The sequence below is a fragment of the Homo sapiens genome, chromosome 5 (assembly GCF_000001405.40).
Source record: "Homo sapiens chromosome 5, GRCh38.p14 Primary Assembly".
NCBI classification, from domain to species: domain Eukaryota; kingdom Metazoa; phylum Chordata; class Mammalia; order Primates; family Hominidae; genus Homo; species Homo sapiens.
The window spans coordinates 124289625-124304296 of NC_000005.10; the positions used below are offsets into that span (position 1 = coordinate 124289625).

The following is a 14672-nucleotide window of genomic DNA, read 5'->3' on the forward strand; positions in this document are numbered from 1 at the left end:
CCAGGTGGAGGCGAAGAGAGAGAGGAGGTGTTACATGTTTCTTTGCCAAGTGCTGGTTCTGACTTGCCAGGATCTTGCTGGAGTAGCTCCTGCTTTCCTGGGAAAGTCCAGCATCCAAATGGCACCAGCCAGATGTGAGAAAACCCTACAAGCTGCCCACAGCCCCTCCTCTGGCTGGGAACTGAAATGGCAAGTCCACCTGGCTTTGTAAAAACAAAGAGGTCCTTCTCTCTGCCTGTAGCTTTATGGGTTGGCAGGTCCGGAAAAGCCTCCCTTTGATCTTGAGCTTTGAAGGGATCAAACAAGCTGCTTTAATGGGCAGGAATGCAGCTCTGAAAATCCTACCTTTTGTCAGTAAAGCATTTCTCTTTTTCCTCCTGGGGCAGGTGCAATGGAGGATGTAGTCTGCTTTCCAGGCCCTGAGCCAGATGTTCCTTCTTGCAACAAGTAGAACAAAGGAGCGAAAGTGAGATCAGGGCAGCCACTGACAAGGCCTTGTCCACAAATGAGCTTTGCCAGGTTTGAGAGTTAGTTCTTGATGTGTTCCTTCCTGAAACCTGCTTTAACTACACTGCATTTTACAAAGGCCAGAAATCAGCTGCTTTGGTGTTAACTGTGCTGATCATGACTTCTCCAAGCTTTTAGATTTTGTTTGGAAGAAGGCTCACCTTTAAGCAATGGGATTTGGGCTAACATCCTTTGATTTATGAGATATGCTTTCCAACCCTTTACAGCCTAGGATCCCAGACTCCTTCTCAATGCCAAAACAGCCTTTAAATAACCACTTTTCTTCCCTTAGCCTATGCTGCTACTATGACAGCAGAAATAGAAAAAAGAAAAATTGGATCATGTTTTTGTTTCATGAGGACCATTCCAACATCACTCTAAAGAGATGCTGTTAACATCTCACATCAGATAGAGAATACATTTCTCCAGCTTACCTGAAATAAGTAGATTCACCACATCCTCTAATACCTGAATAACTAGAACACTGCTCCCTTATAAAATGTTTTCTAGAAATTGCCTTAAATGCCTTTAGGGAAGAGATACTGGTGATTATGCCTCCAAATGATTCCATAACTATTCAAGCTGGCAGTTGAAGTTTTCTTGGTGATTCTTATTTTCATTAAGCATCTTTTGAAACTGGATCCCCCAAGGTAGGTTCTGCAAATCCCTAGACCCAGGATATGTTCCTTGAAGAGAGTGCTCCGTGGCCAAAGTAATTAGCAAAACATTTGGGTTTTTTGTCTGTTTTATTTTTTAAATTTATTTTATTTTTTTTAGAGACAAGGTCTCATGTTGTCACCCAGGCTATAGTGCAGTGACCTGATCATGGCTTGATACCCCCTGCCCACAGGGACTCAAGTGATCCTCTTGCCTCAGCCTCTCGAGTACCTGGGACAACAGGTGCATGCCACCATGCCTGGTTAATTTTTCTATTTTTTTTTTTTTTGGTAGAGACAGGGTTTTACTATGTTGCCCAGGCTGGTCTCAAACTCCTGGGCTCAAGAGATCCTCCTTCCATGGCCTCCCAAAGTGCTGGGATTGCAGGCATGAGCCACCACACTTGGCCCAGTTAGGGAAACATTTGAATACCACAGTTTTCTCTTGAAATTCTCACTGTGCATTCAATATAAGTCTCCTAGAAGAGACTTGTTAAATACCATTTAACCTATGTTTTCCCAAATCACTTGGCCAGGGGGAATGTTTTGCCACATAATGTTTAATATCCCTAGAACTAACTCTTGGGAAAACAGACTCTGATATATTTTTCCTTAGAGCACAATCATAGGATCTACCTGTAGCACTCTCTTAACAGATTTGCAGATTTGTTCCTAGGGACTGTGACTTGATAGATCAGAAGTGGGATCCAGGATTTTAAACAAGGACCCTAGGTGATTCTTATAGTGAGCTCAGTTTGAGAAATTCTGGCTTTCTATATACCTACCCTCTGCACTTCCTACCTGTCCCTCCCCCCACATACAAACACACAAATATATACATGCTAGTTATGAAAACACACCATAAAATATACAAACCCCTGAAGGTAACAGAGATAATTTCTTCTTGCAGAAAGGAGGCAGACATAATGTAGGCAAGTTGAAGCACACAAAGTGCACCTTCTTATTGCCAAGCCTTTAAGAATAATGAGCATATTAGCCTAAGAGAGTACAGAACAAGTCAGCCACACCAGATGCCCAGGAGGTGTCACAGGACAGTGGTGAAGCTTGCAGACCTAGAATGAGGTCCCCCCAACCCAGGTTTGTGACCCCTACTCTGCTGCTCTACATTTTCCAAGCCTCAATTTCTTCATGTGCAAATCAGGAATGATTAAAAAAATAGTATTTCCCTTACATAAAGTATTATAAAGGGCTAAATGAGACAACACAAGGAAATTGTTTGGTATAACACCTGACATGTTGTGCTAAGCAATTTGCTTAATATTTGCTATTATTTTTAAGCAAACATTTTAGGAGGCATGAAAATACATGAAAAAGGAAAAGTGAGGGTGGAGAGAGCCTGTCTTTGGATACTCAGAAAATCACCCAGCAGAAGTCTCTTCTGAGTAAAACACAAAATAGGACATGGCAAGCTTGCTTTTTGCCTTATCTCTGTTGCTATCAGTGGCTCCCAGACTCCTACAGTTTGAGTCGTTTAGCATTTCTGGATATTTCCCTTGTTCCCCATGCTTTTAAGCCTTCCGAGTTCCAGGCCACCAGCACCCAGGGCTCACCTCAACTTCCCCAGCAAACCAATGCAACGCAGCACAAAAAGGGTTACAGGCATGTTTCTAAACAAATAAGAACTGCCAAGGCTTGGTGCTGATATGAAATTATAATCAACCATTCACAGATTGGTAGTATTTATCATGTTGTTAGCATTGTAAATTTGTACCATTGTAGATAGGAGTCACACAGCTTGGGGCCCTGTACCTTCACCTATTGTTTTCCCCGTGTTATGATAAATTTCCAGCAACACTTGATTAAAACTGCCAATTTGTTGGGAATAAAGAGAATCTCTCGACACCACCAGGACTAATTACGTTGTCCTTGCCAAAGGGGTAGTTGAATAATTGCATGCGATTATTGCACAGGCATGGCGCTTTTCACATCAGTAGCAAAGCAATGAAGATTGATTCCCTTTAATTAATCATTCAAAAATAGCCCCCTTGTATCATTCCCCAAATAGGAGGGAGCATGTTCCTACATCTTTCTTCCAAAAGATGCCTGGATGCAATTGGTTCCCTGATGAGATATCAAAATGTGTGTGCCTGTCCGAGATAGGAGGACCTTCTCCGTAATTGATTGTGGAGCCTATTCAGATTCTTTATCCTCTGTTCTGAACTCTCTTTGTAATCTGAACAACCTGGAGCACATTTACATAGCTTTCATTAATTGTACTCTGGCTTCTCATTAGAAAAGAAGGCAACAACTTTTATCAGATCCATATAGGCTTTATTTTACATATCTGCTAACATAATACATTGGGCTTACGTACTCTTAGTGTTTGGTATGGAGAACCAAAGGCTTTATAGGACCCTATATTATTAGAAGGCATTGATATACATTCTTACGTATTATTTGCACTGTTTGTTTCTTCCTTTTTCCCACAATCTCCAAATTCAGCCTTGTTTATGTTTTTTATTGTTGTTTTTGCTTGTTTCTTTTTGGGTTTTTTTTTTTTTTTTTTTTTTTTGAGACAGGGTCTCACGCTCTGTCACCCAAGCTGGAGAGCAGTGGCACAATCACAGCTCACTGCAGCCTCCACCTCCCAGGCTTAAGCAATCCTCCCACCTCAGCCTTCCAAGTAGCTGGGACTACAGGTGTGTACCACTATGCCTGGCTAATTTTTGTAATGTTTGTAGCGATGGGGTCTCTCCATGTTGCCCAGGATGGTCTCAAACTCCTAGGCTCAGGTGATTCTCCTGCCTTGGCCTTCTAAAGTGCTGGGATTACAGGTGTGACCCACCAGCCCAACCTTGTTTATGTTTCGAAAACCCTATGTCAGCCAGATGCAGTGGCTCATACCTGTAATCTCAGCACTTGGGGAGGACAAGGCGGGTGGATCACGAGATCAGGAGATCAAGATCATCCTGGATAACACAGTGAAGCCCCTTCTCTACTTAAAAATTAGCCGGGCATACTGCCATGTACCTGTAGCCCCAGCTACTCAGGAGACTGAGGCGGGAGAATTGCTTGAACCTGGCAGGCAGAGGTTGCAGTGAGCTGAAATCACACCACCATACTCCACACAGCCTGCGCAACAGAGCAAGACTCTGTCTCAGAAAAAAAAAGAAAACCCTATGTCTAGTTTCTCAACTCAGCCTTTTAAATATAAAGATACACTATAGTGATATCTTGAAATATTGCTTGTTTTTTTCACACACCCTTATCACCATGGTTGTTAAAAGTCTTTGCTTTGGAAAAAAAAGATTTAATTAGCAATATTTATTGATGGTGTTCTGCAAAAGAATTGTCCTTGATGTTTTGTAGTGATGCTGAAGAAGGAGGATGATATGGTTTGGCTCTGTGTCCCCACCCAAATCTCATCTCAAATTGTAATCCCCACATGTCAAGGGAGGAACATGTAATCCTCACATGTTGAGGGAGGGAGGTGATTGGATCATGGGGGCAGTTTCCCCCATGCTGTTCTCGTGATAGTGAGTTCTCACCAGATCTGATAGTTTTATAAGCATCTGGCATTTCCCCTACTTGCACTTCTCTCTCCTGCTGCCTTGTGAAGAAGGTGCCTGCTTTCCTTTCATCTTCTGCCATGATTGTAAGTTTCATTGGACCTCCCCAAATATTTGGAACTGTGAGTCAATTAAACCTCTTTCCTTATTAAATTATCCAGTCTCAGGCATTGCTTTATAGCAGTGTGAAAACAGACTAACACAGAGGATTGTACTGCTAATTGGGAGCAAAATTGTGATGTGCAAGATATCCACTATGGGCACATCTCCACTTTCCACACCTGGCTCTCACCATCTCATCTCTCTTCCGTCGTCAGAAAATACCATATTAACACATTTTTATGTATACCAATTTTCAACATTTTAAGTCACTAGAGGAATAGAGCAAGTGTCCATCTCAGCATAGGCACCCCCTTCGTTTTTGCTCTGCACCTTTGTCTCTGAAGCTTTTTCTCCTTTTCATTTCACCTCTACCCTCCCCTACTCTGTGGACCAAAGCCCTTGCTCTGTGCCCTTGCTTGTATGGGGTTGTCTTTTTAGTAAATTTTAGAAACACCAAACTTGAGAGTATCTCAAAGAGCATCTATTCCAACTCGTTGAATATACAGATGAAAAAACTGAGGTCTCAGAAGAAGTGATCCCTCAGTGAATGTTCAACAGGGCAAAATAAAAGAAAGGAGAAAGAATTATGGGTCAGCTGAACCACAGCTTAGGATAAATACTACAGGTTTTGAAGTCAGCCCTGTATAAAATCTCAATGCTGGCGCTAATGTGTATCCCTTGAACCTCAGCTTTTACATCAGACATAAAGACATGACAACATGTTCTTATAGAGTTATTGTAAGAATGAGAAGTCACACAGGTAAAGCAATGGGTGCCAAATAGATTCTTTTGAAAAGATAGGCCAGGCGCAGTGGCTCACGACTATAATCCCCAGCACTCTGGGAGGCTGAGGCAGGTGGATCACAAGGTCTGGAGTTCAAGACTAGCCTGGCCAAGATGGTGAAACCCCGTCTCTACTAAAACAAAAATTAGCCGGGAGCAGTGGCATGCACCTGTGATCCCAGCTACTCTGGAGGCTGAGGCAGGAGAATAGCTTGAACCCGGGTGGCGGAGGTTGCAGTGAGCCGAGATCGCACCATTGCACTCCAGCCTGGGCGACATAGCGAGACTCAGTCTCAAAAAAAAAAAAAAAAAAAAAAAAAAAAAAGAAGAAGAAGAAGAAAAGATAGTAAAAATGACAATGATGTTACTAAAGTATAGTGTCTGCTGCCATTTTTCCAGACCTCAGTATCTTAAATGTTAAAAAGAACTGCAATTCATTAACCAAAAGCTTTCTTTATTTTCCTCCTAGGAGTTTATTTTTACTCTGGGATCAGTCAATAATAAAATGATCTAAGAAAAATCTTCACCATGGCTCTCTAAGCTTCTCCCTCATCATTCTTCCTCTCTCCTTCCATTTTTATACGCAGAGAACAGAGCTGGGTTGAGAAGACGAATATATAAATTCAAGTCCCTGCAGCTCTGATCCCGTGGGAAGATGAATAGATGTTTGAGGCATCATTCAAAAAACTCCTAGAAGGAAGCTTCTGTTAACATGCCCCATCTTGCAGATACTTGGTAGAGATAGACAGAAGCTTAAATGATGGATCCCAGTGCTAGAGCCCTCTACCTTAGATGGGTCTTTGATTCACCAACTCACTGTAAAACCATCTCCCGTCTTATCCATAAGCCGAGATCCTTCTCTTGACCGATGTTTCTCACTTGGCACTATACATTAGTGATTCTCACATTTTTAATCTGCACCATTTGGAGTTCTTGTTAAACTGCAGATTCTTATTCTGTAGTTCTGAGGTAGGGCCCAAGATTCTGCATTTCTAATGAAGTTTGCGGAGATGGCAATGCTACTGATCTTTGTGCCATATGAGTGGCAAGGGTATAGGTCATTGTTCCCTGGGTGCTGCTGTAGCACCCAAAACTTAAATGTCAGCCTCAGAACAGTTTTAACTAATATGATCGCTACATCTTTCTAATTGGTTTATAGGAATAAACACACATTCTCATGTCAAATATATATATATGCACATACACACATATATATGTTTATTATAATAATAATAAACATAATGATATGTTTATAATACCGATAGTTCACTATTTTATTTTCTTACATAATGATCCATACTCATAAGCATGGGGCAGTATATGGGAGGGGTGGAGGAGGTGTGGTTCATAAGACAGTGAGAAATTTTTCCCAAATCCTTCTCTGCCTTCCCCAGCAATCGTTTCTATTTCATTGCTGCTAAGTTTTCTCTCATCCCTGAACTAGTGGCTTCCCACTATGGTCCATCTGCCCTGGGCCCAAGCCCCAAGGTAAGCTGCCAATGTCCATCAGCCACTTGTGCCTGGCCTTGTTCTCATAGGGTTGGCATGAGAACAAAATAGATTAGCATATGCAAAATGCTTAGAATAGTGCATGGCAAAGAATAAATACATAGTTTTTAAAAAGTTGCAATTATTATTATTGCTGTTGCTCTTAGGACATGACTGTCTCCTCACCCCTTCCTCCCCACCAACCACCCTAACACTTTCACTAATCTGTTCACTAACCTGCCCTATGTATGTGTGCCAAGGGCTATGTTCACAGTGCTTTCTTGGTGATCAACTGACCCAGAGTTGTGGATTCATGCCAAAAACTCCTCCCTGTGTCAAGACAAAATTAGAATAAATTTAGCTATAGATCAAATTGACTTTTACTCATGATTGATGAATTGGAACCACTTCCATTCTACAAAATTAAATGACAGCATTCCATGGGTAATAGCAGAACAGTGGGTTTTGCAAGGTGAGAACAAGGAAATCAAACAATAGGAAAAAAAAAAAAAAACTGGGCCAGGTGCAGTGGCTCACTCCTGTAATCCTAGCACTTTGGGAGGCTGAGGCTGAGGCAAGAGGATCGCTTGAGGCCTGGAGTCTGAGACAAGCCTGGACAAAATCCTGTCTCTACAAAAATAAAAATTAAAAAAATTAGCTGGGTATGGTTACATATACCTGTAAGTCCTAGCTACTTGGGAGGCTGAGTTGCGAGGATCACTCGAGCCCAAGAGGTTGAGGCTGCAATGAGCCATGACTGTGCCACTGCACTCCAGACTGGGCAACAGAGACCCTGTCTCTAAAAAAAAGAAACAACAACAACAAAAAAAAACTGATGATGGGTTAACATCAGGCTACTTCAGTTTACTTTTTAGGAAGGGCTAAAGCAGAGGGGACTTCTTTATTATGCTGACTTGGGAAGACAGGAATCTCCTGTTTTCAGAAAAAAACAAAAAACAAACAAACAAAAAACCTGTTCTATTTTGGGATTTACCTGCTTCCTTAAAGTTTCAGTTTGGTTATGTGGCATTTACCATGAATGACTCCATTTTTATTTGGTCTGCTCTGCTGGGGCCTAGTACAGGAGCTCAGCCCAAAACAATGGCCTCCCACAATTTTGGCTCAACGCTTGTAATGTACAAAGAACTGCTAGCGATAGTATCTCCTCTTTTACATCATAGGAAGGTCACCAAGAGAAGATTCAAGATGATGCAGAAGGCAAGAGCCAGATTGTGGCAGGCTAGCAGGGCAGCCGTTTTTAAACAAGGATGACTCTACAATGTGATTCTGGCATCACTCCACAGAACTACAACAAACCTATATTGAGCCCAACCTCTACTTGGCACTGGGTTTACAAACATTACTAACACGAAGCCTGCCTCTGAGTACTTTATAATCTTCTTGGGGAGACAAGTATTTTCTCATCCAAGTAAAAGCAGAATACAGTAAGTACTATGGGAGTGTGAAACAGGGAAGGATTCATTCTGACTTGGGAGAGTAGGGAAAGGCATGAAGGAATGTGTGACATTTGAAGAAGAGTAGAATGTTGACAGATAGTGATGAGGCCCTCCAGGCTGAGAGAATATCACCAGCAAAAGACCACAGACATGGAAGTGGAAGGATTACTGAGGAACTACATAGATTGACAGATGCATGGGGGTCAGGGGGAATTGCAGGCAGGTGGGCAGGCAGGCTAGGTGAGACCAGATGATGGCCAGCCTGAGCCTGGAGGGCTCTTTACACAGCTTAGATTTCATTCCAGAGGTGATGGGGAAATATTAAGGTGTTTGAGTAGGCAACAGCTGTATTTTTTAGGAAGTCTGTATCAGTGGAGTGATCAACTGAATAGGAAAACATGTTAGCGATAATTACAATCATATTCTAGGCAAAAAAAAAAAAATGAAAATGGTTGTATTAGTCTGTGCTCGCATTGCTATAAAGAAATACCTGAGATTAGTAATTTATAAAGAAATGAGGTTTCATTGGCTCACAGTTCTGCAGGTTGCAGAGGAGGCATGGCCACATTCACTTCTGGGGAGTCCTAGGGGAGCTTACAACCATGGCAGAAGGTGAAGGGGGAGTGAGGCATTTCACATGGCAGGAGCAGGAGCAAGAGAGAGAGAAGGGAGAGGCGCCACACACTTTTAAGTGACCAGATCTCTTGAGAACTCACTTTCACAAGAAAAGCACCAAGAGGGAAATCCACCCCCATGATACAATCACCTCCCATCAGGCACCACCTCCAACACTGGGGATTAAAATTTGACATGAGATTTGGGTGGGTACACAGATCCAAAACATATCAATAGTCTTTAGAATTATAATGACAGTAGGTACTAACAGAGGAGTTGGATATGAGAATCCTAGCAGAAAGTCAAACCCCATGTAAAATACATGATTTAAAATCAAGCTAATGTATCCTTGAAATTCCTTACGTTCATCTGCTCAGACTGCCATAGCAATATACCACAGACTGGGTAGCATAAACAACAGAAATTTATTTTCCCACAGTTGTGAAGGCTGGAGGTCCAAGATCAGAGTGTCAGCAAGGAACAAGAGTTGGTTCCTTCTGAGACCTCTGTTCTTCATTGTAGTAATAGATGGCCATCTTCTCCCTGTGTCTTCACATAGTCCTTTTTTTTGGGTGTGTCCTAATCTCCTTCCTTTGTGTCTGTCTGTGTCCTAACCTCCTCTTCTTATAAGGACCCAAGTCAGATTGGATTAGGGCCCACCAATATGCTCTCACGCTACCTTAATCACCTCTTTAAAGGCTCTATATCCATATCAGTCACATTCTGAAGTACTGGAGTTAGGGCTTCAATATATGAATGAGGGAGGGAGTGACACAATTCAGCACCTGACACTCCTGTTTCAGTCCTCACATGTGCTGCACCCAATGCGCTGTGCGTATCCAGTCACATTAAGAACCCAGTCATGAATATGTGCCTTCAAATGCACATTCCGGGTTACAGCAACTGGGTTAGACCTCCCAGAGCAGCCCATATATTTCCATCAGGTCCCCCAAAAATAAAAATGGTGCAAGATAAAAATGGAAATAAGAACTTTTATATTAATGCATTTCTGAAATGGCAGTTTTTGATTCTCAAAGAGCCTTAGGTCAGGTGGGTCGGGGGCAGAGAGATTGGATTTGAGATCTAACGTGAGTGATGCTTCTATAGCCTGAGAAGTACCCATGGTCCCTCCTGTAGACAAGTCAGAGCAAACTGGACAGACTGGATCCACCCTCCTTTCTGTTCTAGTTGTGCTTTTGTAGATTCAACCTTGATGAAACCCATTTTTACAAATGCTAGCTTTTTTTCTAAAGAAATGCAAATGTCTCTCTTCTTCACACATGCACACAGAAACACATGCACACACACACACGCATGCATGCACACACGCTACCACCATATACAATATCAAGAACCAGCCCGTCACCTCTAACTAAATGTACCATTATGGGGCTCACTGCATTACCACGTTTTTAAGTCCTGAGGTAGCAACCACTGATAATCAATATTCTAGGTGTAATCTCAAATTCTGTGCTGTTTTCCAAAAGTGCATTAACCTTTAAGGTTCACATTAGGCAGCATAAAGTTTCTTTTGATTTGTCAGTCACTACCACCCCTCGATCTCCTTCCACCTCCCTGTTTCCGATGGTTCCCCCACCTGAAAGGCCTGGACAATGCCATGCCGTGCTATAAAGAAAAATAAAGGCCAGGCATGGTGGTTCATGCCTGTCATCCCAGCACTTTGGGAGGCCTAGGCAGATGAATCATGAGGTCAGGAGTTCAAGACCAGCCTGGCCAAAATGGTGAAACCCTGTCTCTACTGAATATACAAAAATTAGGTGGGCGTGGTGGCACGCACCTGTAGTACCAGCTACTCGGGAGCCTGAGAGAGGAGAATTGCTTGAACTTGGGAGGTGGAGATTGCAATGAGCCGAGATCATGCCACTGCACTCCAAACTGGGTGACAAGAGCAAAAACTCCTTCTCAAAAAAAAAGAAAAAGAAAAAAAAAAGTATTTTCTAGCTTCCCAAATTGTCTCTTCTGGGAGCCTATTTATCAGAAGGCGCAATATAAAAGAGAGGAAGGGCTGTAGGTAGATATTATAAATTCCACTGGGGTTTCAGAAGATGAACCATCTATTTTATTCTAGCAGGAGATGTTTTCTATATATCTGCTGATTGCACATTCATTCTTTAATCTTTATACATGAAAAGCTAAAAGCAGAAAGCTATGGACTAAAATTTTCTCTGTAAATTGTTGAACATTTGCAACAGATATAGAAAATCACAGTGTGAAAGCCGTTAAAGCTGTGAAAAAATAAATTGGAGGCGCCACAGGAAATGGAGGTTTTACATAAGGACCAGCAGCCAGCCAGAGTTTTCAAGTCCATTTTGTAATAAAGGAAATTATGATCCACATAAAGCCTACTTTGGGAAATTTACATTTTGATGGATAATACGCTTATAACAATTAACATGAATTGTTTCCGGTTTACTTACGACATGCTTCTAATAGATAGTCCACACGTGTCTTTAGCAGAATGTAACTGCTAATATTTGAAGTGCAGGAAATTCCTTGGTTCTCATTTAAAATACCGTAATGCTCTCCCTGCTCCAGGCAGGCGAAAATAAAATCTCAATTAAAGTAAAAGCAGGCATAGTTCCAGTTAAGCAATGATCATTTAGAGAATTAATGCAATAAAGCTTTTTCCATAAAGTGCATAGTCAGCATGGCGTGGGAGCAATCATGCCGGACTGGGATTCCAGTCCCCTGGACCCGGAATTGGCTGCTCTTTCACCAGGTTGTTCAATCTTGTACACATCACTTAATCTCTCTGGGCAACAACTTCCTTATGGATAAAAAATAATATTTTTAGCTATCATCTCTCAGACCTGATCTAGCTTCGGAACGCTGGGCTTTATGATCTAAAAAACCTGTGGAAATCCTTCTAGCATTGAGAAATAAAAGTATTCAAAGGAACTTAGTTTCACTATAATCTAAACTCAAGAAAATTAAGAAAATAGAACAGTAACTAGGTAAGGAGATCACAGGCAGGCAGCACTGTGCCAAATCTGGTCTTTAACATTTTGTTTGACTAGCACAACATTTTTGTTAATAAATAAATAAATAACACTTTAGATATCCAGTGTCTCAGAAAATACATAGCTTGGTCCCTATCATTACAAACTTTATCAGGCATTTGAGCTTCTTAAATGATTTCTACTGCTCCCCTTTGCTTCAGACAAACATTTCCCTCCTCCCACATATCTGGGGATTAAGAGGGTTTTGCTACCTTCTAAGCACATTGGTGATGAGGCAAAAGGAATGGAATCTTGTTGTTCCCTAGCTCTGCTGCAGAACTGACCTCATATCTTGTTCCATTTCTTTTTTACTCATCCGTTTTCCATTCCAGGTCTCTTTTCACTCCAATGCCGATATCTGAATGGAAAGGGTTGGGCAGACCTTCTAGGATTAATGAAAATGCCCAACAAATATTTGGCTCTTTACATCCCTCTGCTTATCTTCAGAGATTGGGAGAAGGGGAGGAAGGGAACTATTAAGTAAAAACATTGACACACTGCTTAGAGCAGAAGAAATCAGAAAAAGAGTAAATGTACTCATCACGAATCCAACTGTCTACCAATGTGAGGGAAAACAAGAAGGCCTTAAAAACTAGTGAAAGTTGTTCTCAGGTTTTCCCATTCATTATCTTGTAGACTAAAAGAAAAACATAGATGTAGTGGAAAGAAAGCAGGGCCAACAATCAACACCTGAGTCCTCTCTGGTTCTTAGTGTCTATTTCTACAAATGAAGAAGCCAGCACTACTTCACTGATTCTAAACCATGGCTGCATATTAGAAGGACCCAGGGAGATTTTAAAAATACAGAGGCTGGACCTTACCCAGAATCCCTGGAGAGAGGGCCCAGACAATTGTATAACTGACCTTTTTGTTCTTCTGTTTAGAAAATATATAAGCCAAAGTTCTAACCACTCGTTTGAGTTACTCATCTCTGAGCACTCCCATGTGTATGTGTGATGCATGTGTTTATAAACTTCTGTTTGCATTTCTCTTGTTAATCTGTCTTTCGTTGGTCTAATTTATAAGGCCCCAGCCAGAGAGTGTAAGATGGGTAAAGGAAAAACATTTTTTTCTCTTGCAATATAAAGTAAGTATACTTATAAATGTGCACATATTTGTATATATGTTTAAAAGGATATATTTGCATATATATCTTAAATCTTTTCACTAGAAAGTCAAGTGAGCAGTGACTTTCTGTTGGCACAAATCTTGGTTTCCAAACGTCACTCTAAATGTGCCAGAGCTCCTTGGAAAAATGGACAATTGTTGTACTGCAAGAGGAGCCTGAAGTATCTGATGGCACCAGAAGGTAAGGAAATGCTCAAAGAATAATGGAGACATATATAACCCACTGGATTATAACCCATGGACTATAACCCAATTCTGCAACCAGTGGATTATAGCTCACAGAATAATAGGATTATTCACATAATAGAAATTTATGAGTCAACAGTGATACAAATAAAGAAAAAAAACACATAAGGAGAAAACTGTTCCTTATAACAGAGAGCTAGCTAATAAAAATAATGATAAATAGAAAGGAAATAATGGCATTGAATAACATCTTTTGGCAACGATTATAGTAATATTATTTCAAGCAGGAAACATCAATGGATGTTATAACTAGTAGGAACAGGGAAGGATGAACATAATTTTACATGGTCTCAAAGTATCTACTCCAAAATATTTATTCATCCACATTTTTCAAAAACTAACTCACAGTAGAAAAACCTGGCAGACACTATCCAAATCAAATGATAAATGTAAATAGCACTCAGTAATGGGGAAACAGGCCTCATGTGTTTCCCAAGAGGAGTTAAAGAGCACAAGCTCTGTGATATTCCAGCTAAAAATCTATCCAGGATCTAATCATAAGAATACATCACACAGTTCCAAACTGGGGGACATTCCATAAAATAACTGACCTATAATCTTCAAAAATGAGAAGAAAATGAAAATCAAAGGAAGACGGGTTTCAGGCCTCTGAGCTTAAGCTAAGCCATCATATCCCCTGTGACCTGCACGTACACATCCAGATGGCCGGTTCCTGCCTTAACTGATGGCATTCCACCACAAAAGAAATGAAAATGGCCTGTACCTGCCTTAACTGATGACATTCCACCACAAAAGAAATGAAAATGGCCTGTCCCTGCCTTAACTGATGACATTATCTTGTGAAATTCCTTCTCCTGGCTCAGCCTGGCTCAAAAGCTCCCCTACTGAGCACCTTGTGACCCCCACACCTGCCCGACAGAGAACAACCCCCCTTTGACTGTAATTTTCCTTTACCCAAATCTTATAAAGCGGCCCCACCCCTATCTCCCTTTGCTGACTCTCTTTTCGGACTCAGCCCACCCACACCCAGGTGATTAAAAAGCTTTATTGCTCACACAAAGCCTGTTTGGTGGTCTCTTCACATGGACGCACATGAAATTTGGTGCCGTGACTCGCTCTTTGCTCTGTGAAAAAGATCCACCTATGACCTCGGGTCCTCAGACCCACCAGCCCAAGGAA

The 14672-nt window shown here is 41.4% G+C and overlaps 1 long non-coding RNA gene across 1 annotated transcript in view, besides 1 other annotated feature; it reads right to left on the minus strand.

Moving 5' to 3' along the window:
• LINC01170 (long intergenic non-protein coding RNA 1170) overlaps window positions 1-14672 on the minus strand; it is a 378727-nt gene that overhangs the window by 229831 nt on the left and 134224 nt on the right. The window lies entirely within an intron of this gene.
• Window positions 176-1139: an enhancer, noted in NCBI's record as "OCT4-NANOG-H3K27ac-H3K4me1 hESC enhancer chr5:123625493-123626456 (GRCh37/hg19 assembly coordinates)". NCBI's record gives its function as "activates a minimal SCP1, AML or CMV promoter by ChIP-STARR-seq in naive H9 embryonic stem cells {active_cell/tissue: H9 hESC(naive)}" and the evidence as "EXISTENCE:reporter gene assay evidence [ECO:0000049][PMID:30033119]".